Source organism: Homo sapiens, chromosome 10, assembly GCF_000001405.40.
Source record: "Homo sapiens chromosome 10, GRCh38.p14 Primary Assembly".
Lineage (NCBI taxonomy): Eukaryota > Metazoa > Chordata > Mammalia > Primates > Hominidae > Homo > Homo sapiens.
Window position 1 is genome coordinate 92,406,764 of NC_000010.11, and position 24,191 is coordinate 92,430,954.

Sequence of the window (24,191 nt, forward strand, 5' to 3'; positions counted from 1 at the left end):
ACAGGCAACTGCCACCACACCTGGCTAATTTTTGTATATTTAGTAGAGACGGGGGTTCACCATTTTGGCCAGGCTGGTCTTGAACTCCTGACCTCGTGATCCCCCGCCTCAACCTCCCAAAGTGCTGGGATTACAGGCGTGAGCCACCGCACCTGGCCGGTATCAGGTTCTTATTATTACCTGGAGGTTCCTCTGTGCTGCCTCTCTAAACTAGAGATCTCATTCAAGCCCAGGAATGGCTCACAGGAGACTGAGCCAAGAGGTCAGCACTTCCTGATCTGCTCTTGCCAAATGACAGGGTAGCTTGGTGCACAGAGCTGTGCTGGGGAAGGCAGGCCTCCTCACCAGTGAAGGCTGTGGGCACTTAGATATGGAGGAGAGAAGGAGCTAGGTGTAAGTTTGGGTTTTGCCCCCTCCTTGCTCTCTTGCTGAAAGCAAATGCTACCTAACTCAGATCTCAGAGATGCTTCCTATAGGAGGGACAGTAAATACATGCAGTTGGATTTTACAACAGGTCAAGACAAAGTCTGGAGGGGATGGGAGCCTCATACAGTACCTGTGTAACCGCCTGAGGGGTTCACCTCGCCCGCTATCTAGCCAGAGCCAATTCATCAAGACAGGGGAAGTGCAATAGAGAAAGAGTAATTCATGCAGAGCTGGCTGTGCCCCCTACAGTTTTATTATTACTCAGTCAGTCTCCCCAGGCATTTGGGGAACAAAGGTTTTTTTGTTTTTGTTTTTCTTTTTTTGAGACAAAGTCTTGCTCTATCGCCCAGGCTGGAGTTGCAGTGGTGCAATCTCTGCTCACTGCAATCTCTGCCTCCCGCCTCCCAGGTTCAAGGGATTCTCCTGCCTCAGCCTCTGGAGTAACTGGGATTACACACATGTGCCTCCATGCCTGGCTAATTTTGGAGACAGGGTTTTGTCATGTTGGCCAGGCTGGTCTCAAACTCCTGACCTCAAGTGATTTGCCCGCCTTGGCCTCCCAAAGCTACAAGCATGAGCCACCACACCTGGTGGGGATCAGAGTTTTTAAGGGTAATTTGGTGGGTGGGGGGCCAGGGAGTTGGGAGTGTTGGCTGGTCAGGTCAGAGACGAAATCATAGGGAGTCGAAGCTGTACTCTTGCGCTGAGTCAGTTCCTGGGTGGGGATCACAAGATCAGATGAGCCAGTTTATGGGTCTGGGTGGTGTCAGCTGATCCATTAAGTGCAGGATCTGCAGAATATCTCAAGCACTGATCTTGGGCTTTACAACAGTGATGTTGTCCCCAGGAGCAATTTGAGGAGGGTCAGAATTTCATAGCCTCCAGCTGCATGACTCCTAGACCACAATTTTAAATCTTGTGACTAATTGATTAGTTCTGCAAAGGCAGTCTAGTCCCTAAGGCAAGAAGGGGTTTTGTTTTGGGAGAGGGCTGTTATTGTCTTTGGTTTTTTGTTTGCTTGTTTTTTTTTTTTTTTTTTTTTTTAGATGGTATCTCACTCTGTCACCTAGGCTGGAGTGCAGTGGTGTGATCTTGGCTCACTGCAACCTTCACCTCCTGGTTCCGAGCTATCCGCCGCCTCAGCCTCTCAAGTAGCTGAGATTACAGGCACCTGCCACCACACCTGTCTAATTTTTGTATTGGGTTCTCCATGTTGGCCAGGCTGGTCTCAAACTCCTGACTTCAAGTGATCTGCCTGCCTCAGCCTTCCAAATTGCTGGGATTATAGGCATGAGCCACCGCACCCGGCTCAAATCTGTTTTAAACTATAAACTAAGTTCCTCCCAAAATTAGTTCAGCCTATGCCTAGGAATGAACAAGGACAGGTTGGAGGTTAGAAGCAAGGTGATGTTGGTTAGGTCAGATTATCTTTCACTGTCTCGGTTATAATTTTGCAATGGCAGTTTCAGTATAATTGAGCTAAGAGATAATATCATCTCTTGCTCTGAACCTTTCATGAGGTACCAGTGTAACAGTATGTTTAATATTGGAGTTCCCTCATTGCATAACTCTCTTACTAATTCCTTTACCGCCAGCTGGCAGTCCTTCTCTCCATTTATACCTGTATTAGTTGGTTTGGGCTGCCATTACAAATACCATATCCTGGGTGGCTTATACAACAGAATTTATTTTCTCACAGTTTTGAAGGCTGGAAGTTTGAAATTGAGGTGCTGGCGTGGTCAGGTTCTGGTGAGGACTCTCTTCTTGGCTTGTAGACAGTCACCTTCTCATTGTGTCCTCATATGGGAGGAGGGGGCAGGTCTCTTCCTCTTCTAAGGCCACAGTCCTATGGGATTAGGGCCTCATTCTTGTGACCTCATTTAATCTTAATTATCTCCTAAAGACCTTATCTTTAGATACAGTCACATTAGGGGTTAGGGCATCAATATATGACTTTTGAAGGGACGTAATTCAGTCCATAGAATTAGTCTTGGCTCCCCAAACCTCAAGTCCTTACCACATGCAAAATACATTCATTTCTTCCCAACCACCCTAAAAGTCTCAATTCAATCCAGCATCAACTCTAAACTCTAAATCCAAAATTACATCTAAATATCACCTAAGGCTGTGCATGGTGGCTCACGTCTATAATCCCAGCACTTTGGGAGGCTGAGGCAGGAGGATTGCTTGAGCCCAGGAGTTTGAGACCAGACTAGGCAACATAGCAAGACACCATCTCTTAAAAAAAGAAAGAAAGAAAGAAAAAGAGGCCAGGTGCGGTGGCTCATGCCTATAATCCCAGCACTTTGGGAGGCCGAGGCAGGCAGATCATGAGGTCAGGAGACGAGGGCTAACACGGTGAAACTCCGTCTCTACTTAAAAATACAAAAAATTAGCCAGGTGTGGTGGCACACGCCTGTAGTCCCAGCTACTTGGGAGGCTGAGGCAGAATTGCTTGAACCAGGGAGGCAGAGGTTGCAGTGAGCTGAGATCACGCCACTGCACTTCAGTCTGGGCCACAGAGCGAGACTCCATCTCAAAAAAAAAAGAAAGAAAGAAAATTTACATAAATAAATAAATATCATCTAGGTCAGATATCAGTAAAATTCATATGATTCATACTGAGGGAAAATTTCTCTTCAGCTGCGAACCTGGAAAACCAGAGAAGTTATGTGCTTCCAAGTGCAATAGTGGGAAAACAAGACAGACATTCTCATTTCAAAGGGGAGAAATAGGAATGAAGGAAAAGGCGATGGTTCCTAAGTAAGCCCAAAACTTAGTGAGGCAAATTCCATGAGATCTTTTTTTTTTTTTGAGACGGAATCTTGCTCTGTTGCCCAGGTTGGAGTGTAGTGGTGTGATCTTGGCTCACTGCAACCTCCACCTCCCAGGTTCAAGTGATTCTCCTGTCTCAGCCTCCCGAACAGCTGGGATTACAGGCACACAGCACCACGCCCAGCTAGTTTTTTGTGTGTTTTTAGTAGAGACAGGGTTTCACCATGTTGGCCAGGCTGCTCTCGAACTCCTCACTTCAGGTGATCCACCCACCTCAGCCTCCAAAGTGCTGGGATTACAGGCGTGAGCCACCGCGCCTGGCCTCCACAATATCTTAGGCCCAAGAATATCTTTTTGGCTCCATGCCTTCCTTCTAGACCAACTGGGGCAGCACTTCCACCCATGAGGCTATGCTGGGTGAGGGTCCCACCCCCCATGGCTCTGCATGGTGGTCTCACCCCTAAAGCTTCAGGCAAGGGCCATCCTGCCTGTTGGAATCAAGGCAATAGCCTCACTCTTTGAACTGAGGAGGCAGTCCTGGTGATCTCTGAATTGCCTTTGGGCTAATTTTTCTCTATTCTTGAAGAATAATGCATATTCACAGTCAAATAGCTCTACGGTCTGGTCCTGTAGGGATCTAAGGAGTCCAACAGCATACCTTCATTTCATCTCATTTTTTCTGTCCCCTTTAACCCTGGCTAGTAGTGTTTCTGCTGGTATAATCTCATCTCTCTTCCTGGCTTCTGCTGATGTGGCTGATTAAGGCCATGAGTGGCACCCATGATCTCTTTATCAAATGGTTGTTGAGCCATACCCTTGCTATCCATTCCCCAGATGTCTGTGTGTGTAAGTTGGAAAACTCAAGTAGTTCTTTCAGAGGGTAGTGTGATCCTTCGGAGGGTAATGTGATCCTTCAATCACACTTTTTATCTTACCTTTAGGGGCTTGCTGGGACTTGAAATTACAGGTCTAGAAGTAAAGAGAGGTAGTGGGGATGGGAGACTCAGGTGTTGTCTTGCACAACAACTGCCTCAGGGGAGGCCACTACAGTTTCCTTGGGCAATGCAGGGTTAATCCCCTGTAATAGGGGTAGAAAGGCAGCTTCTACTGGGGAACGACAAGTCGCATCGATAACTGGGGATGAGGAGGTCTCCTCCAATGACAAAGAAGACTCATCAGAATTTAGGGGTTTCATGACCCCTTCATCAGGGTCTTCCTGCATGTCCTTGTTCAACTTTCAGGATCCCATTCCTTCCCAATCAATGTCCTCACTTTAACAGTAGAAACGGGCTGGGCATGGTGGCTCACACCTGTAATCCCAACACTGTGGGAGGCTGAGGCAGTGGATCACCTGAGGTCAGAAGTTCGAGACCAGCCTAGCCAACATGGCAAAACCCTGTCTCTATGAAAAATACAAAAATTAGCCAGGTGTGGTGGCACGCGCCTATAGTCCCAGCTACTCTTAAGGATGAGGCAGGAGAATCGCTTGAACCTAAGAGGCGGAGGTTGCAGTGAGCTGAGATCACGCCATTGCACTCCAGCCTGGGTGGCAGAGCAAGACTCCGTCTCAAAAAACAAAACAACAACAACAAAAAAAAAAACAGTAGAAATGCTGCAAGGCTGGAAGTTCAACTCAGCCAGTATCAGGATGAAGTTCTTGGTTAGATTTTAATCACTCTCAGCCCTGTGGTCACGGGAGATAAGTATCTTCTTCAGAACACACAAAGAAATTTTCAGGCCACTTACATGGTGCTTGAGCTGGGAATTTGAATCCCTGAACTTATTCTTTTATTTCCCTACTTTGTGTTTTCGTTTTTGTTTTGAGATAGAGTTTCGCTCTTGTTGCCCAGGCTAGAGTGCAATGGCGCAGTCTCGGCTCACCACAACCTCCGCCTCCTGGGTTGAAGTGATTCTCCTGCCTCAGCCTCCTGAGTAGCTGGGATTACAGGCACGTGCCACGACGCCTGGCTAATTTTGTATTTTTAGTAGAGATGGGTTTTCTCCATATTGGTCAGGCTGGTCTCGAATTCTTGACCTCAGGTGATCCACCTGCCTTGGCCTCCCAAAGTGCTGGGATTACAGGCGTGAGCCACTGCACCCGGCAAGGATATCTCTTTGCTCATTGCCAGACATTATGAGCTGTAAAGTGTGTTCCTTGGTCTGAAGAAATGACTCAATGGTCCAAATTGGCACACTATATTCTGTTCTGGTCCCTTCATAGTATTTTGGGGATTTGCATCTATCACCAAGTATGCAAAACCTGGACCAGAGTGTCTATTTCCATCAGGCTCCATACGTAACCTGCAGGGAATACTGGCATCTTCCCAACTTGCCAGCTATGTGCAATGCCTCTCCACCGGGGAATCTGCCCCCATAGCAATCTGCAGGCTCTGCCTTTTGTTGGCATTTTGCACTTCAGAGGGTGAAAGAACATGTCTAGATTCAGCCCATCTCTGCATTGCTGCAGTACCCACATATCCACTCATTTCATGGATCAAGGTGGGCATTTCAAGTGAACACACCAGGATATCCATTCGCCATCTCTGAGCAACTTCCAATTCTGAAAGGGGGTTCTTCTGATGGACATTGGCATGTCCTACTTTAATGCACCCCTTCGATTTTTATAGTAACTTCCACAGGGCTGTGCCCTTATAGCATCTTTTTTTTTTTTTTTTTTTGAGATGGAGTTTCACTCTTGTTGCCCAGGCTGCAGTGTGGCACGATCTCGGCTCACCACAACTTCCACCTCCTGGGTTCAACCGATTCTCCTGCCTCAGCCTCCCGAGTAGCTGGGATTACAGGCATGCGCCACCACGCCCGACTAATTTTGTATTTTTAGTAGAGACGGGTTTCTCCATGTTGGTCAGGCTGGTCTTGAACTTCGGACCTCAGGTGATCTGCCTGCCTCAGCCTCCCAAAGTGCTGGGATTACAGGCCTGAGCCACCGTGACCGGCCTAGCATCCCTTTAATAGACCAGTTTTCCATTGCCTTCTTGAAGCAGGATCATTGTCTGGGGTAAATGCCCTAGGGTCGTCATCTGGTGCCGAGAAGATTAATGAGGAGGAAACACACATATTGGAGTGGATTAAGGAGGGAAAAGCTTAATAGACAAAAGAGAGGAGAGAGGAGACCAGCTCTCTTGTGAGAGAGAGACGTCTAAAAATAGGGAAAGGTAGCCAACCGCAGCAGATTTTATAGGCAGGCTTGAGGAGGCAGTGTCTGACTTAGGTAGGGCTCACAGATTGGTTCGATCAGGTGTGACGTCTACATTTACATAGTGCGTGGGGAAGGATGGTTGCCCCACGCTAATCTTATTATGCAACCATTTGCATAATAAGATTATGCTCTTTCCACTTGGCCAGCGCCATCTCGTCTGCTCCTTACTGTACAGGCAGCTGGCAAAGAGAAGATGGAGCCACCATTTTGATAACGCCTAGTCCCAGGTAGCATTTTTTTCCTATTGGCGCAATTGCTGGCATTCACCTGTGCAAGATTCTAGCTTGCTTTTTTATGTCTGCAGCTCGATTTTACCGGCTGCTCTTTGTTAGAAAAGAAAATATTTGGGGGCTGCTTTTCATAAAAGGAAAACCTTATCGAGGACTTCTGTACCCTCACTATCTGCCTAAGTAATTTCTTTTTAACTCCTATATCACTCTGACTGACCATATGACCAGGGTATTGGCACCTCTCCTGAGTCAGTAAAAACCTGAACATGGGGCAGACAGCATACAGTTCAGCCAACTGAGCTGAGTTCTTTCCACTTTTTTCAGCGTGGCAACCTTCCAAACAGGATGCGGTCCATTTGCCTTAGAACTGCCATCCATACAAGAGCTACATCCGGATAGTTCTTTTTGGTCAATCAACAGCTATTATTAGGGTACCACCCAAGTGACAATAGGGCCTAAAGGGTCTTCAGGTGGTCTTAAGGTCAGCCCTAGGGAAAAAGAGGCTCCCTGCTTGTGAATACTTTTTGCACATCCCTGGTAACAGGTTCCTGTAAAACCATTTCCATTTTATTATGGCACACTTCTGAGCACTGTCTTCCCCATTAGAGCATTTTGCCAATGCCACCCAATACATCATGGGTGTTTTAGGTTTCAGTATTACTTGATATCCTTCAGTCGGAGGAGTAGTCTGAAGTAGTAGTAGTCTGACTACTCCTGTGATGAAAGGACATAAAATATTAGTGCCCAATAACTAGCTAGTCTTTATGGAAATGTTCTTGTCCAAAACCCAGCAGTCATTACCGGCTGATGCTCATAGGCTTTTGCCATAAACCTCAGTCTGTATTTCATCCACGGCTATTGTACAGATAATTTGTCCATACCATCACATCTGCTTCTACTCTGTACTGCTTGAAAGTAACAACACGTGTGGGCTCTGTGGGCTCATGCAATCTTATTGGTTCTCATTTGGATGTCCAAGCAGTATGGGCACAATGGTAGGTTTCCATGCCTTGTTTTACAATACTAGGTGGGGGAAGTGTTCTCCAGTCAGATATAATATCCATTCCCGTTAAAACTTCAAGTAAGTGAGACACAACCACTTCCCATAAAGCCAGTTCAAACATATTACTAATCATTCAAACTTTCACTTTAATCAACCCTATATTCCTACGTCCTCCCAATTTAACTATAGCCCTGATTAGGACTTTACCAATAGGTTTCAGAATCACAGTGCATGAGTGCTTACATGTCAAGGAGTCCCAGAAATGCCACCCCCTGACCATTTTACCCATCATGTGCATATGGCCTTGGGACTGTAGCAGGGAGTCAAGCCAAGAGACCCAGATTGTATGTATGTGTGTGTGTGTTTTTTTTAGAAGGAGCCTCGCTGTCACCCAGGCTGGAGTGCAGTGGGGCGATCTTGGCTCACTGCAACCTCTGCCTCTGGGTTCAAGTGATTCTCCTGCCTCAGCCTCCCAAGTAGCTGGGACTACAGGTTGAGTAGCTGGGACTACAGCTGCCTGCCACCATACCCAAATAATTTTTCTTTTTTTTTTTTGAGATGGAGTTTCGCTTTTGTTGCCCAGGTTGGAGTGCAGTGGTATGATCTCGGCTCACCGCAACCTCCGCCTGCCAGGTTCAAGAGATTCTCTTGCCTCAGCCTCTCGAGTAACTGGGATTACAGGTGCATGTGCCACCACACCCGGCTAATTTTGTATTTTTAGTAGAGATGGGGTTTCTCCATGTTGGTCAGGATGGTCTCGAACTCCTGACCTCAAGTGATCCACCCGCCTTGGCCTCCCAAAGTGCTGGGATTACAGGAGGGAGCCCCCACACCTGGCCATGGACCCAGATACTTTTGTTAGTTCTTATCTTGATTAGACTTGGGACCATCACTCCAGGTTATTAAAGTTCAGGTTTATAATTGTTATCTTTGCCTTGAGGCTTTCCAAATTCTTCCAGATTATGGTGGATAAAGCAGATTTGTTTTGGGCCCTTGTTGGGAGAACCAGTAGGGGGTCCTATCCATTCACCCAGCTTCTGAGAGTGCTGCATTAAGACTTTTCTTTTTTTTTTTTTGAGACAGAGTTTTACTCTGTTGCCCAGGCTGGAGTGCCATGGCATGATCTCCACTCACTGCAACCCCTGCCTCCCAGGTTCAAGCAAGTCTCCTGCCTCAGCCTCCCAAGTAGCTGGGATTACAGGCACCTGCCACTACGCCTGGCTAATTTTGTATTTTTAGTAGAGGTGGGGTTTCACTATGTTGGTCAGGCTGGTCTTGAACTCCTGACCTCAGGTGATCCACCCCCCCCCTTCAGCCTCCCAAATTGCTGGGATTATAGGCATGAACCACTGCGCCCAGCCTCCCTTATTTTATTTGAGCTATTATATGTAACTAGAAATTATATATTTTGCTTTGTGTTTCTTTGCATTTCCTTATGTAGTTGGTAAGTTGGAGTCATCATTTCTAAATTCCATTGATAACTTTTACCTCTCTGTGCATGGCAGCACAGGCCTATAGTCCCAGCTACTTGGGAGGATGAGGTAGGAGGACTGCTTGAGCCTTGGAGTTCAAGACCAGCCTGGGCAACACAGTGAGAGCCCATCTCAAAAAAAGAAAAAAAAAAAAGATAAACACTTTTACCTCTAGTAACTGATCACAACAAAGCTGCCATTTCATACCATGGGAGACTCCATGGTTATCCAGAATCAAAGGTCTTTCATTCCCTGCCCTCTTGCCAAGCCACATTTCAGGAGTCAGCATTGTTCTAATGGATGCCATTTGTCTTTACACTATCTGAAGTGAGCCAGACTTCAAGGTTTGAGAGCACAGTCTCCCAGACTGCAAAGTTTGCCCAAGCCTCTGATACTCCCTGCAAGGAGGTCCCACAAGGTTAGGGGGCATGGTTTTAGGACTTCTGTCACCTCTGACCTAACTGCAAGTTCAGGAAGTTTCCAAAACGACCTTCAGGTTCAAAAATTCACTAAAAAGAATCACAGAACTCTTTGAAAGCTGTTATACTCACAGTTACAGTTTATTTCAGGGAAAGGATAGAGATCAAAATTAGCCAAAGAAAGAGATTGATAGAGCAGAGTCTGAGAGGGTTCCAAATGTGAAGCCTCTGGGGTCCTCAGAATGCATTACCCTGCTGATTTGGATGTGTGAGACAACACATATAGAGTACTGCCAATCAGGGACACTCACCTGAGCTTCAGCATCCAGAGTTTTTACTGGGGCTTCATTACATGATAGACTTATTGTCCATGTGGTTGAACTCAGTCTCCAGCCCCCACCCCACTCTCTGGAGGTCAGGCTGATATCACCTGGCCTAAGGGGCCTACCACGAGTCACCTTGTTAGCATAAACTGTCAAATGGTTGTTCAGCCACACCCTTAATATATTTATATATATCCAACAGAAAGCCATATATATGTCCCCCAAAAACCTGAACAAGAATGTTTATGGCAGCACTATAGCATCTGAAAACTGAGAACTACTCAACTGCCCAGTAACAGTAAAATGAATAAACAAATTAACAAATTGTGTTACAGTCACACAATGAGCATTTAGAATAATAAACAATATGGATGGATCTCACAAAAATATTGAGCAAAGGACCAGGCGTGGTTGTTCATGCCTGTAATTCCAGCACTTTGGGAGGCTGAGGCAGGCGGAACATGAGGTAAGGAGTTCGAGACCAGCCTGGCCAACATGGTGAAACCCCGTCTCAACTAAAAATACAAAAATTAGCCAGGCATGGTGGCAAGCTCCTATAATCCCAGCTACTTGGGAGGCTGAGGCAGGAGAATTGCTTGAACCCAGGAGGTGGAGGTTGCAGTGATCTGAGATCGTGCCATTGCACTCCAGCCTGGGCAACAAGAGCAAGACTCTGTCTCAAGAAAAACAAACAAACAAACAAACAAACAAAAACAAATTAAGCAAAGGAAGCAGACACAAAGGATCCAATACTGTATGAATCCATGTATGTAAAGTTCAAAAATAAGCAAAATGAATCTATGCTGTCAAAATACAGAAGAGTGGTTATCACTGCAGAGAAAGTGACTGGAAAAGGGGTGTGGGATCTTGGGGGGCTGTAATGGCTGTTTCTTGACCTGGATACTAGATAAATAGATGAGTTCAATATGTGAACAGTCACCAAGCTGTGGGCTGATGATTTGTGCACTTTTATGTATATAAAGCATCTTTAAACATCATGTAGGGGCATCTGGGTTCTCCCCACTGAGGTGCCAGTGACGGGTCCAGTACCTGGATGTCCCTATCCTATGCTGAAGGAGAGGTACACCAGGCACAGTGGATTATTCACTTAAAAAGAGTAGAAAATGTGCTTTCTCAACTCATAGCTGCAAACTCTACATTGAAAGATGCTGAGACTGACATAGCAGCTCATGGAAAAAGGGAATCTATGCAAATGAAACTGGGCAAAACTTTAAATGAGAAAATATGATGAAAGCTATCTTCCCCTCAGTGTCGCAGATGGTAATAATGAAGCTCATTGTGTCGTACACAACAGAACATACTTATACACTATCATAATGCCAGCTAAGTTGTGGCATCATTTTGAAACCAATCATTTAGAGTTTAAAGAAAAAAATGAAATATTTTAAGTGTAGATATTGTGGGCTCTTTAAAAGCCAAACATTTTTATACCTTTTCTCGAACTCCCGAGCTCAGGTGATTTGCCCACCTCGGCCTCCCAAAGTGCTGGAATTACAGGCGTGAGCCACCACACCCAGCCTGTTATCTTTTCAAACTAGAAAAGGCCATTGAAGCATCCTAGAGGTTTTAATTTCTAATAAGGTAAATATTCATAACTGTAACCCATATCAATAAAAAATCCTCTTTGTGGTCCTCAATATATTTTCTTTAAGAGTAAAGAGTTCTTGAGACCAAAGCATGAGAAAGCCACATAGATTATCCTCAGCCTTGTTACTAGGCTTAGTTCTTCCTCATAAGGAACTGCTGCTTTGGAATTCCAAGCACGTATGTAAGTCCCTGGCTTGGCTGAGGTTACTGGTTCTTCTTGTTCTTTTTTCTCTTATTTTTCTAATTTTTAAGTTCTTTTTTACTCAGCATTTCCTTTTCAGTTTGTTGCTTTTGCTTATTTGATTTTTGTCCAGTATTGTGTTTTGATTCCATTATAGAAATCCGTTCTTCAGGTAAACTATGCAAGTGATTTTCTTTTCAGGTGATTTGGACCAAGCTTCTCACCAGCTTTTCCCAAAATTAAGCCGACCTGGGACACCTTGACTCCAAGCCCAGTAGTAAGTCCCACACGCCGCAGGGCCTCTCAGCCATCTCTGCTGAGGAGGGATCCTTATTGGCAGCGAGGATCCTTGAGACCATCGTCAAGGACAACCTGGCTAAGGTGGGGTTGGCCTGGGACATCCTGACTGGGAAAGCAGCCGCCGTGAAGTTCATTGATGAGACTCAGCAGATCTCCTCCAGCCTCCAGACACCATCCACAAAGTAGGAATCATGAAGGCTCAGATCACCCCAACATAGTGAAGTATTTGCTGTGATCGATAGTGAGGAATCTCTGCCTCATCACAAAGCACGCTAGCGAGAAGTTTGTGAATACCTGCTCACAGCAGCAGGAAAGAGGCCTGAAGCAAATTCCACCAAAAGTGTCTGCTATGCAAGCTGTTACCAGAAGTGCATTGTCCACAGATATTGTGTATTGTCACCAGAAATGTATTGTCCATGTTAACATGAACATCACAGATTGGGTTCAGGAATAAATTCGCCTTTCGCAACAAGCTGGATACCTTTTGTGGCAGTCCCCTTAGGCTGCCCTGGAATTCTTCTAGGGCCACAAATATGAGCTGGTGGATGTATGGCGTCTGCGAGTTATCCTCTATATACTGGTAAATGGATCCTTATTTTTCGATGGACAGAACTTCAAGGAGCTATAGGAGCAGGTACTGAGCAGGATGTATTCCATTCCCTCCCCCATGTCCCCGGAGAGTGAAAACTTGCTGAAGAAATTTCTCATTGTCAATTGCAGGAAGAGAGGCCCTTCAGAGCACACTGTGAGGGGTCCATGGATGAATGCGAGTCATGAAGGTGAGGAACTTAAGCGCTGTGTGCAGCCACTCTCCCACTGGGAGGACCCCCTGCAAACTAAGTTCATGGTATCCGTGGGTTACAGACAGGAAGAGATCCAGGACTTGCTGAGGAGTATGAGGAAGCAGTGGTCACCTGCCTGCTCCTGGGTTCTCCTTTCATCCCAGGAGGTACAGCTCAGGGTCTCTGCCAGCCCGGAGCAGCAGTGGTTTCAACAACCTGCCTTTCCCATCTTTCACGGCCTGAGAAGACTCAAAGGAGCCACCCAGAGTCTGAACAGGATCAGGAGACAGGGCAGAAGGGCAGCAACACAGCAATGCACCAGCCAGCTCCCTACTAGCCTGGAGGGGACGAACCCCACCCCCGCTGTGAACAGCGACCTCTCCACTAACACCAAAATGAGCAGGAATTCCTCACTCGGGGCAAAAGCCGGTTTGGCCAGACCTCCACCCAGAACGACAACGGCAGCCCCACAGCGCTGGGGCCTGAGGCCTCCTGAGCTCTTGCTTCTCACCTCTACCCCGTCTCCCCGGCCACCAGCCCGGGAATCCCAGTCGGTCTCCTTGCAGCCCAACCAGGCCTCGGTGCCGCACCCCACAGTGAGCAGCTGGGGGGTGCCCGCCCGGCACAGTCCCCCCAGAGTGTCCCTGCGGCCTCCCTTCTACCCGCGTCATCAGCGGAGTGGGCAGAGCCCCCGATGGGACCAGGTACGCGCGGCCGGGCAGCCCAACAGGTGCCAGCCCCAGAAATGGGTTCCAACAGGGTGACTCCAGCCTCTCCCTCTGGCAAAGGCGGCGGCCAGCAGAGGGCCGCCGGGAGCTTCTTCAGCAAGTTCAAGTTCAAGTTCACAAGCTGGACTCAGCTGCCGGTTTGCCTGAAGGAACCTGAAAGCAAAGACGGAGGAGGACACGATTCACAATTAGAAATTAGAGTCACTTTTTGGTACAGAAAAAAAAACGAAAAATAAAAATAAAAAACAAAAAACCCCCCAAACAACAAAAAATTACCCTCGCCCTCTCCCAAATATTAAACAGAGCTCAGTAGGTGCTCACAATAAGAACCCGTCCTTCGCCTGCAGTATTTAAACGATTGTCGGTGGAAGTTCACGTCGTGCTCCTCTTTCGACAGCCGTTGGGTAACGGATCAAAACCCTTAACGGCCGCGGCTGGAGCGCGAGCTCGGGGCGCCGAGGGGCTCCGGGCCCGAGCGTCCACCGCTCATCTCCTGGGCTCGGGAGGTTTTCGCGGCGGGGGCTCAGCCCCAGATCCCGGGACTCAGGAGGAGCTGGGCCGAGCTGCGGGAGGCGTGGAAGCCCCAGGAGAGGGTTTTGCACTACGAAAAAACCATATGCAAATTGCCTGGGAAGAGTTTAGATTCTGTGGCCAAACTGCAAGCGGCCGTTGCTAAAATGGGAAGCATTTACAGGAAAAAGCAAACGGTTTCATCGAGGTGGATTCGACGACAAACTAAGCGAAGGCAAAAACGATCGCGGGAGTCGACGTGGAGACAGATAAGGCCCAGAGCTCTGACCAGACACTAAGTACTTCATCACTAGTCCCTGGCTGCTGCTCTGTGGATAACAGCAGCTCATGTAAGCCAACCTCACAAAACCAGGGGCCGTCCACCTCCTTCACGCAGGCATGAGGAGGCTTCAGAGGCCGAGTCCGAAGTGGCCAACCACAACTTCCAGGAGCAAGAGGGGCATTTCATAATGACTAGGGGTCAATTCTCCAGAAAGACATAGCAGTCTTTAATATGTAGGGACCTAACAACAGAGCCTCAAAATATGGAATCCATCAAAGGGGAGAATTGCAAGAAAAACCAGACAGATCCACTGTTATAGTTGGATATCTCAACACCTATCTACTAATAATTGATGGACTCAGGACATAGCTGAGCTGAAGGGCATCGTCAATCAGCTGGACCTGTTGATATGTATAGACTACTTCATCCAACGAGTACAAATATACACTCTTCTCAAACTCAGATGAAATATTCGCCAAGATAGACCATGGTCTGGGGCATAAAACACACTTCTAACAAATTTGAAAGAGTAAAAATCTTACAAAGTATACTCACATCACAATGGAATTAAACTGGAAATTAGTAACAGAAAGACAGTTGGAAAGCCACCAAATATTTGGTCATTAGACAACATGGTCCCAAATAACACATAGGCCAAAGAATTCTCAAGAGAAATGTTAAAAAATGTTTTGAACTAAATGAAAATGAAAATATGACTCATCAAAATTTGTGGGTTGCAGCATACCCACATTTGGTCATTAGACAACATACTTCCAAACAACACATGGGTCAAAGAAGTCTCAAGATAAATTTTAAAAAATATTTTGAACTAAATAAAAATGAAAATATGGCTTATCAAAATGTATGGGATGCAGCAAAAGCAGTGCTAGAGGAAAATTTATAGTATTGAATGAATATATTAGAAAAGAAGAAATATGTAAAATTAAAAATCTAAGCTTCCACCTTAGGAAACTAGAGAAAGAAGAATTACATAAACCTAAAACAGAAGAAAAAAAATTAGAAAAAAAATGGATGACATTAAAAAGAGGAAAATTATAGAGAAAATCAAAACATAAAAGCTGAAACCAAAAGCTAAATCTTTGAAACAATAAGTAAAATTGATAAACTTCTGGACTGGCTAGCCAAGAAAAAGAGAAAACACAAATTACTAATATCAGAAATAAAAAAGAGTTTACTAATCCCACAGACATTAAAAGTCTAATAGAGGTTCTATGACAGCCATGTAAGAAGAAAAAAGTCGGCCGGGCACGGTGGCTCATGCCTGTAATCCCAGCACTTTGGGAGGCCAAGGTGGGCGGATCACCTGAGGACAGGAGTTCAAGACCAGCCTGGCCAACATGGCAAAAGCCTGTCTCACTATAAATAAAAAATTAGCTGGGCGTGGTGGCGGTTGCCTGTAATCCCAGCTACTGGGGAGACTGAGGCACGAGAATGGCTTGAACCCAGGAGGCGGAGGTTGCAGTGAGCTGAGATTACGCCACTGCACTCCAGCCTGGGCAACAGAGCTAGACTCCATCTCAAAAAAAAAGAAAAAAAAAAAAAAGGCTGGGCGTGGTGGCTAACGCCTGTAATCCCAGCACTTTGGGAGGCCAACGTGGGCAGATCACGAGGTCAGGAGATCGAGACCATCCTGACCAACATGGTGAAACCCCATCTCTACTACAAATACAAAAATTAGCTGGGCGTGGTGTCATGCACCTGTAGTCCCAGCTACTCTGGAGGCTGAGGCAGGAGAATCGCTTGAACCCAGGAGGCGGAGGTTGCAGTGAGCCAAGACTGTGCCACTGCATTCCAGTCTGGTGACAGAGCAAGACTCCGTCTCAAAAAAAAAAAAAAGTTTTATGCCCACAAATTTGATAACTTAGATGAAATAGACCAATTCCTTGAGAGAGACAATCTACCAAAACTCACCAAAAGAGAAAGATAATCTTAATAGACCTATATCTACTTTTAAAATTGAATCAATAATCTTCCAAAAAAGAAAGCATCAAGCCCAAGTGTTTTCACTGGCGAATTCTAAGAACTAATACCACTTCTCTACAATCTCTTCCAGAAAATAGAAGCGGAGGGAATATTTCCTTAGTTCTGTGAAACCAGCATTATTCTAATACAGAAACAAAAGATACTACAAGAGGGGAAAACTACAGACCAATATATCTACCATGTACAAAATGTATCTTTTTTCTATCTTTTGTATTGGAGATATAAAAATTCTGGACAACATATTAGCACACGAAATCTGCTGTGGTTTGAATGTTACTGTCCAAAATTCATGTTGAAATGTCCAATGCAAGAGTATTAAGAGGTGGGGGTTTTGCAGCCTTCAGCGTTGTTCCGTTCTGCCCCTTCAGCCATGTAAGGACACAGTGTTCTTCCCCTCTGAAGGTTGAGGCAATGAAACACCATCTCGGAAGCGGAAAGTAGCCCTCACCAGAAAACTGAACCTGCTGGTGCCTTGATCTTGGACTACCTAGCTCCAGAGCTGTGAACACATTTCTGTTCTTTTATATTACCCAGTCTCAAGTATTTTGTTATAGCAGCACATATGAACTTAAACAGAATTCAACAATGTATAAAAAGAATTACATGCTATGACAAAGTGAGATTTATCCCAGGTATGCAAGGCTGGTTTGACAGGAAAATCAGTCACTATAGTCCATTACATCAATAGACTAACTAAGAAAAATCATATCAATGCAGAAAAAGTATTTCACTCAATAGATGCAGAAAAAGTATTTCACAAAATCAATCATCCATTCACCATAAAAACTCACAGCAAACTAGGAATAGAGGGGAATATCCTCAACTGGATAAAGAATATTTGCAAAAAACCTATAACCAACATCATAATTAATGGTGAGAAACTATATGCTTTCCCCCTCGGATCAGAAACAAGAATGTCTCCTCTCACTACTTCTAGTCAACATTGCAGGAGGTTCTAGCTAATACAATATGACAAGAAAAGAAAAGGCATCCAGATTGGGAAGGACGAAATAAAACTGTCTTTGTTCACAGATGACATAATTATTTATATAAAGAAATCCCAAAGAACCAACAAAAAGTGATCATAAGAAGGTTGCAGGTAGGTTAACATACAAAAGTCAATTGCTTTCCTATAAATTAGGAATAGATAATTGGAAGTTAAAAAAATTCTGGTGAGATATACATAACACAAAATTTACAATTTTAATAATTTTTAAGTGTATTAATATAATTCAGTGGCATTTCATTAAGTACATTCACAATGTTCGGTAACCATCACTACTATTTCCAGAAATTCATCATCCCAGACAGAAACTCTGTACTTACTGAACAATAACTTCTCATTCTCCTTCCTCCAAGTCCCTGCTGACCTCTATTCTACTTTCTGTCTCCATGAATATGCCTCTTCTAGGTATCTTATATGAGTGGAATCACATAATATATGTCCTTTTGTGTCTTTCTTATTTCATTTCACATAATGTTTTCAGGATTCATCAGTGTTTTGGCATGTATCAGAACTTCATTTCTTTTTATGGCTGAATAATATTCCATTGTTTCCATTCCAGTTATTTCCACATTTTGTTGATTGGTTTATCCATTGAAGGTCATTTGGGTTGTGTTCACCTCTTGGCTATTATGAATAATGCCACTATGAACATTGTCATACAAGGATCTGTTTGAGTCCCTGCTTTCAGTTCTTTAAGGAATAGACCTAAGAGTGGATTCACTGGATGTTATGGTGATGCTATGTTTAATTTTATGAGAAATGGCCAAATTATTTTCCAGAGTAGCTGCAACATTTTACATTCCCAATAACAATGCATAGCGTTCTAATTTTTCCACATTATAGTGAACATTTGTTATTTTTATTTATTTATTTTTGAGACAGAGTCTCGCTCTGTTGCCCAGGCTGGAGTGCGGTGGCACGATCTCGGCTTACTGCAACCTTCGCCTCCTGGGTTCAAGCGATTCCCCTGCCTCAGCCTCCTGAGTAGCTGGGATTACAGGCGCCCACCACCACGCCCAGCTAATTTTTATATTTTTAGTAAAGACGGGGTTTTGCCATGTTGGCCAGGCTGGTCTCGAACTCCTGACCCAAGCGATCCACCCACCTCAGCCTCCCAAAGTGCTGGGATTACAGGTGTGAGCTACTGTGCCCGGCCAGGTGTTCTTTATATATTCCGGATTTTAATCCTTTATCAGATATATGGCTTGCAAGTATTTTCTCCCATTCTGTGAGTTGTCTGTTCACTGTCTTGATAGTGTCCTATGATGAACTAAAGGTTTTTTTTTTTTTTTTTAGACGGAGTTTTCGCTTTTGTTGCCCAGGCTGGAGTGCAATGGTGCGATCTCAGCTCACTGCAACCTCTGCCTCCTGGGTTTAAATGACTCTCCTGCCTCAGCCTCCCGAGGAGCTGGGATTACAGGCATGCGCCCCCATGCCCAGCTAATTTTAATTTTGTATTTTTAGTAGAGGCGGGGTTTCTCCATGTTGGTCAGGCTGGTCTTGAACTCCCGACCTCAGGTGATCCACCCGCCTTGGCCTCCCAAAGTGCTGGGATTACAGGCATGAGCCACCGCACCCGGCCTTGAACTGAAGGTTTTTATTTGAAGCCCAGTTTATTTTTTCTTTTGTTGCCTGAGCTCTTAATGTTATATCCAAGCTATCATTGCCAAATTAATGTCATAAAGATTTTCCCTTTTGTTTCCTTCTAACGGTTTTATAATTTTAGCTATTAAGTTTAGGTGTTTGGTCCATTCTGAGTTAATTTTTGTATATCGTATAAGGTAAGGGTCTAACTTCATTCTTGGCATTTGGATACCCATCAACATTTGTTGAAAAGATTGTATGTACCAAACTGAATGGTCTTGGCACCCTTGTCAAAAAGTAATTGGTCATATATAGGAAGGTTTCCTTCTGGGCTCTCAATTCTATTCCATTCTCCATTTATTTATATATCTGTCCTTATTTCCCCTGTGACTTCTTCTTTGACACGTTGGTTGTTTCAGCATGTGTTATTGTACATATTTGTTAGCTTTTCAGTTTCCTTCTTTAATTGTTTTTGTTTTTGAGACGGAGTCTCGCTCTGTCACCCAGGCTGGAGTGCAGTGGTGCGATCTCAGCTCACTGCAACCTCTGCCTCCTGGGTTCAAGTGATTCTCCTGCCTCAGCCTCCCAAGTAGCTGGGATTACAGGTACCCACCACCACGCCCAGCTAATTTTTGTAGTTTTAGTAGAGATAGGGTTTCACCATGTTGGCCAGGCCGGTCTCAAACTCTTGACCTCAGGTGATCCATCTGCCTCTGCCTCCCAAAGTCCTGGGATTACAGGCATGAACCAACGTGGCTGGCCTCTTTCTGTTATTGATTTCTAGTTTCATTTCATTGTAAGTGGAAAAGATGGTATGATAGAATACAATATGATACAATATTTTATTTTATTTTAAAAAATAGAGATGGGGTCTCATTATGTTGCCCCGGTTAGCCTCAAACTCCTGAGCTCAACCTGCCTTGGCCTCCCAAAGTGCTGGGATTACAGATGTGAGCCACTGCACCTGGTCCAATCTTTTAAAATTTATTAAAATTTGGTTTGTGGCCTAATATATGGTCTCTCTTGGAGAATATTCCATTTGCATTGAGAAGAGTGTGTATTCTGCTCTTGAGTACAGTGTTCTGTATATGTCTGTTGGGTCTCACTAGCATATAGGGTTGTTCAAGTCTTCTCTTTCCTAATTACTCTTCTGTCTGGTTGTTCTATTCATTATTGAATGTGGGTTATTGAAGTCTCTAACCATTATTGTAGAATTCCCTTTATTGTATTGGAGAACTCCCTTTAATGTATCCCTCCAGGCCGGGCACGGTGGCTCACGCCCGTAATCCCAGCACTTTGGGAGGTGGAGGTGGGTGGATCACCTGAGGTGGGGAGTTCCAGACCAGCCTGACCAACACGGAGAAACCCCATCTCTACTAAAAATACAAAATTAGCCAGGCACGGTGGCGCATGCCTGTAATCCTAGCTACTCGGGAGGCTGAGGCAGGAGAATCACTTGAACCCAGGAGGCAGAGGTTGCAGTGAGCCAAGATCACTCCATTGCACTCCAGCCTGGGCAACAAGAGCGAAACTCCATCTCAAAAAAAAAAAAAAAAAAAATATATATATATATATATATATATATATATATATATATATATATCCTTCCATTATTGTATTTCTCTCTTTGATTCTGTCAGCTTTTGCTTAATATATTTTGGAGTTATGTTATTAGATGTGTATATGTTTACAATTGTTACATATTCTTAAAAAGTTTTATCAAAATGTAATATCCTTTGTTATCTCTTGTAACTTTACACTTATAATGTTTGTTTATTTGTTTGTTTTAGAGACAGCATCTCACAGTGTTGCCCAGACTGGAGAGCAGTGCACTGCAACCTCTAACTCCTGGGCTCAAGTGATCCTTCTGCCTCAGCCTCCGGAGTAGCTGGGACTACAGGTGCATGCCACCATGCTTGGCAATAATCTATATATCTGATAATTATATAATTATATAGCCACCTCATCTCTATTTTTGTTACTATTTGCATAAAGTATCTTTTCCATTATTTTACTTTCAACTTCCTTGTGTCTTAGTATCCAAAGTGACTCTATTATAGACAACATATGGTTGGATTATACAGATTATACCAAATGTATAAAAGATATACATGAGGAAAACTACAAAACTGTGATGACAAAATCAAGAAGATCTAAATATTAATAAATGAGGAGATATTTCATATTCATGGACAGGATGACTCATATTGTTAAGATGTCATTTCTTCCCAACTTGATCTATAGACTCAATGCAATCCCAATCAAAATCCAAACAAGTGAGCTAAGGAGTTCGAGACCAGCCTGGGCAACATAGTGGGACCCTGTCTTTAAAAAAAATTTTTTTTTTTAATTAGCCAGGCTGGTGGTGCACACCTGTAGTCCCAGCTACTCAGGAGGCTGAGGTGGAAGGATGGCTTGAGCCCAGGAGTTTGATTGCACCACTGCACTCCAGCCTGGGCAACATAGTGAGATGCCATCTCTAAAACAAGCAGAAGAAAAAAAATTACTGCAAAAATTGATGACATTGAAAAGAGGAAAATTAACCAGGCATGGTGGCTCATGATTACCTGAGGTCAGGAGTTCGAGACCAATCTGGCCAACATGGTGAAACCTCATCTCTACTAAAAATACAAAAATTAGCTGGGCGTGATGGTGGGCACCTGTAATCCCAGCTACTTGCAAGGCTGAGGCAGGAGAATCACTTGAACTCGGGAGGCGGACGTTGCAGTGAGCCGAGATCGTGCCATTGCACTCCAGCCTGGATGACAAGAGTGAAACTCTGTCTCAAAACAAACAAACAAACAAAAAAGAGTAAAATTATAGAAGAAAAAAAATGGCACAAAGACTGACCTCTAAAGTAAACTATGGACTCTAGTTAACAATAATATATCAATACTGATTTATCAATTATAACAAATGTGCCACACTAATCCAAGATGTTAATAATAGGGATATTGCCAGGCGCCTCAGGTCTGTAATCGCAGCACTTCGGGAGGCTGAGGCAGTCTGATCACTTGAGGTCAGGAGTTTGAGACCAGCCTGGCCAATACAGTGAAACCCCACCTCTACTAAAAATACAAAAATTAGCCAGGCGTGGTGGCGGGCACCTGTAATCCTAGCACTTTGGGAGGCTGAGGCAGGAGAATTGCTTGAACCTGGGAGGTGGAGGTCACAGTGAGCCAAGATAGCTCCACTGCAATCCAGCTTGGGTGACCTAGCAAGATCCAGTCTCAAAAAAAAAAAAAAAAAAAAAAAAAAAGGGCGGGTATTCTGAAACTCTCTGTACATTCTGTTCAATTTTTCTGTAAACCTAAAACTATACTCCTCCCCCATAAAATCTATTAATTTACTTAAAAGTGAAGTTGACTTTTTAACACAAAATGGGAAAGGCTTTAGGCAGGAAAGCCACATGGTCAGATATAGGTCTTGAATAAAGCTGCCTGGAGGCAGTATGAAAAGCCATGGTGGGGTGGTAGAGTGAAGCAGAAGGGGAAAGCGTACAAAGCCTGGCATCAAAGAGTAATGCACGGTCCAAGTAGAAGAAGGTGACAGTCTCCGCTAGAATAATGAAGAAGGGAAATAGGAAGCAGGCTTGAGAAATACTTAGGGGGTCAAATAGGCAAGATGAGGTGATTGGTTTTATTTGTACAGTAAGAGAGGGAAAGGAAAAGAATGACATCCAGTTTTCTAGCATAGGTGATGGGGTGGGTAAAATTCTACTTAATTAGATCTCAAGTACCCCTTTTGTACTCTCGGATGGCACTCACCTCCATTCCTCTATCATCATAGATGGAAATATGTAATTGTGGGTTTCTTTGTTCATTTGTTTTGACACAGGGTGTTGCTCTGTTACCCAGGCTGGAGTGCAGTGGCACCTTCGCAGCTTACTGCAGGCTCAACCTCCTGGGCTTCTAGCAATCCTCCCATGTCAGCCTCCCAAGTAGCTGGGACTACAGGCACGAGCACCACACCCAGGGAATTTTTAATTTTTTTGTAGTCCCAGGGTCTCACTATGTTGCCCAGGCTGGTCTCAAACTCCCAGGCTCAAGCAATCCTCCCACCTTGGCCTCCCAAAGTGCTGGGATTGCAGGCCTGAGCCACCGTGCTGGGCCAGGCTTATTTGTTTGGTGGCAGTCTGCTTCTCTAGATTGAAAAGGCAGTGGGGTGGAACCATGTCTGGTCTTGTTCATCCTTCTATCCCAGCCCTAGCACAGTGAGTGGCACAGAGTAGGCACCTGATAAATAGTTGTCAACAAATATAGACTGTGTCAATTATACCTCAATAAATCGGGGAAAAAAATTAAAAATGGACTGAGAAAATGAGCATACAGAAAGAAAAGACAGTTTAAGAAGTTCCTTTTTGGAGCCGGGTGTGGTGGCTCACGCCTGTAATCCCAGCACTTTTGGAGGTTGAGGTGGGCGGATCATGAGGTCAGGAGTTCAAGACCAGCCTGACTAACATGGTGAAACCCCGTCTCTACTAAAAATACAAAAATTAGCGGGGCATGGTGGCATGCTCCTGTGATCCCAGCTACTTGGGAGGCTGAGGCAGGAGAATCACTTGAACCCAGGAGGCAGAGGTTGCAATGAGCTAGAGATCGAGCCACTGCACTCCAGCCTGGGCGACAGAGCGAAGACTCTGTCCCAGGAAAAAAAAAAGGAAGTTCCTTTTTGGACATGGTGAGTTTGAAATGACTGTGCAAAAGTCCAGGTGGAGATAGCCAGGAGGCAGCTGGAAATGAATTTGAGATTCAGGGAGAGATTAGGTTTGGAGATAGAAAGTGGAGAGTTAAGGCCAGGCATGGTGGCTGACGCCTGTAATTCCAGCAATTTGGGAGGCTGAGACTGGCGATCACCTGAGGTTGGGAGTTTGAGAACAGGCTAACATGGAGAAACCACATCTCTACTAAAAATACAAAATTAGCAGGCATGGTGGTGCATGCCTGTAATCCCATCTACTCGGGAGGCTGAGGCAGGAGAATTGCTTGAACCCTGGAGGCGGAGGTTGTGGGGTAAGCCGAGATTGCACCATTGCACTCCAGCCTGGGCAACAAGAGCGAAACTCCAACTTAAAAAAAAAAAGAAAAAAAAAAAGAAAGTTGAGAGTTAACAGCATGTCATAAAATAAAAGCAAGAAAGAAATGTGTAGGAGCAGACCCCAATGAAGTTCAACATTTAATGTCATTTACTTCCTCCTACTTCTTAGTCAATCACCTCTGCCTTATCCAAGTGCACTTCACTTTCCCCTGCGCTGCTTACAGGGATGGCATATGACACAGCCCCAGGGGACACATTACTATGTTGTGCTCCAGGGAGGGCCTGCCTTTGCCTTCATGACCT

At 44.7% G+C, this 24,191-nt stretch overlaps 1 long non-coding RNA gene and 1 pseudogene across 2 annotated transcripts, besides 1 other annotated feature; both read left to right on the plus strand.

Annotated features, from left to right (window-relative positions):
- Positions 575 to 624: a silencer, noted in NCBI's record as "silent region_2616". NCBI's record gives its function as "represses an Ori minimal core promoter by ATAC-STARR-seq in GM12878 lymphoblastoid cells {active_cell/tissue: GM12878}" and the evidence as "EXISTENCE:reporter gene assay evidence [ECO:0000049][PMID:35858748]".
- MARK2P9 (MARK2 pseudogene 9) lies at positions 11,898 to 12,843 on the plus strand (annotated as a pseudogene). The gene has a single exon (NR_038243.2). The product of NR_038243.2 is annotated as an MARK2 pseudogene 9 (transcript).
- A 3,403-nt stretch (positions 12,844 to 16,246) lies between these two features.
- On the plus strand, positions 16,247 to 20,860 carry LOC124902484 (uncharacterized). Its single transcript, XR_007062248.1, has 2 exons — positions 16,247 to 17,360; positions 20,642 to 20,860. It is a non-coding gene; the product is annotated as an uncharacterized LOC124902484 (long non-coding RNA).
- Positions 20,861 to 24,191: the final 3,331 nt, after the last annotated feature.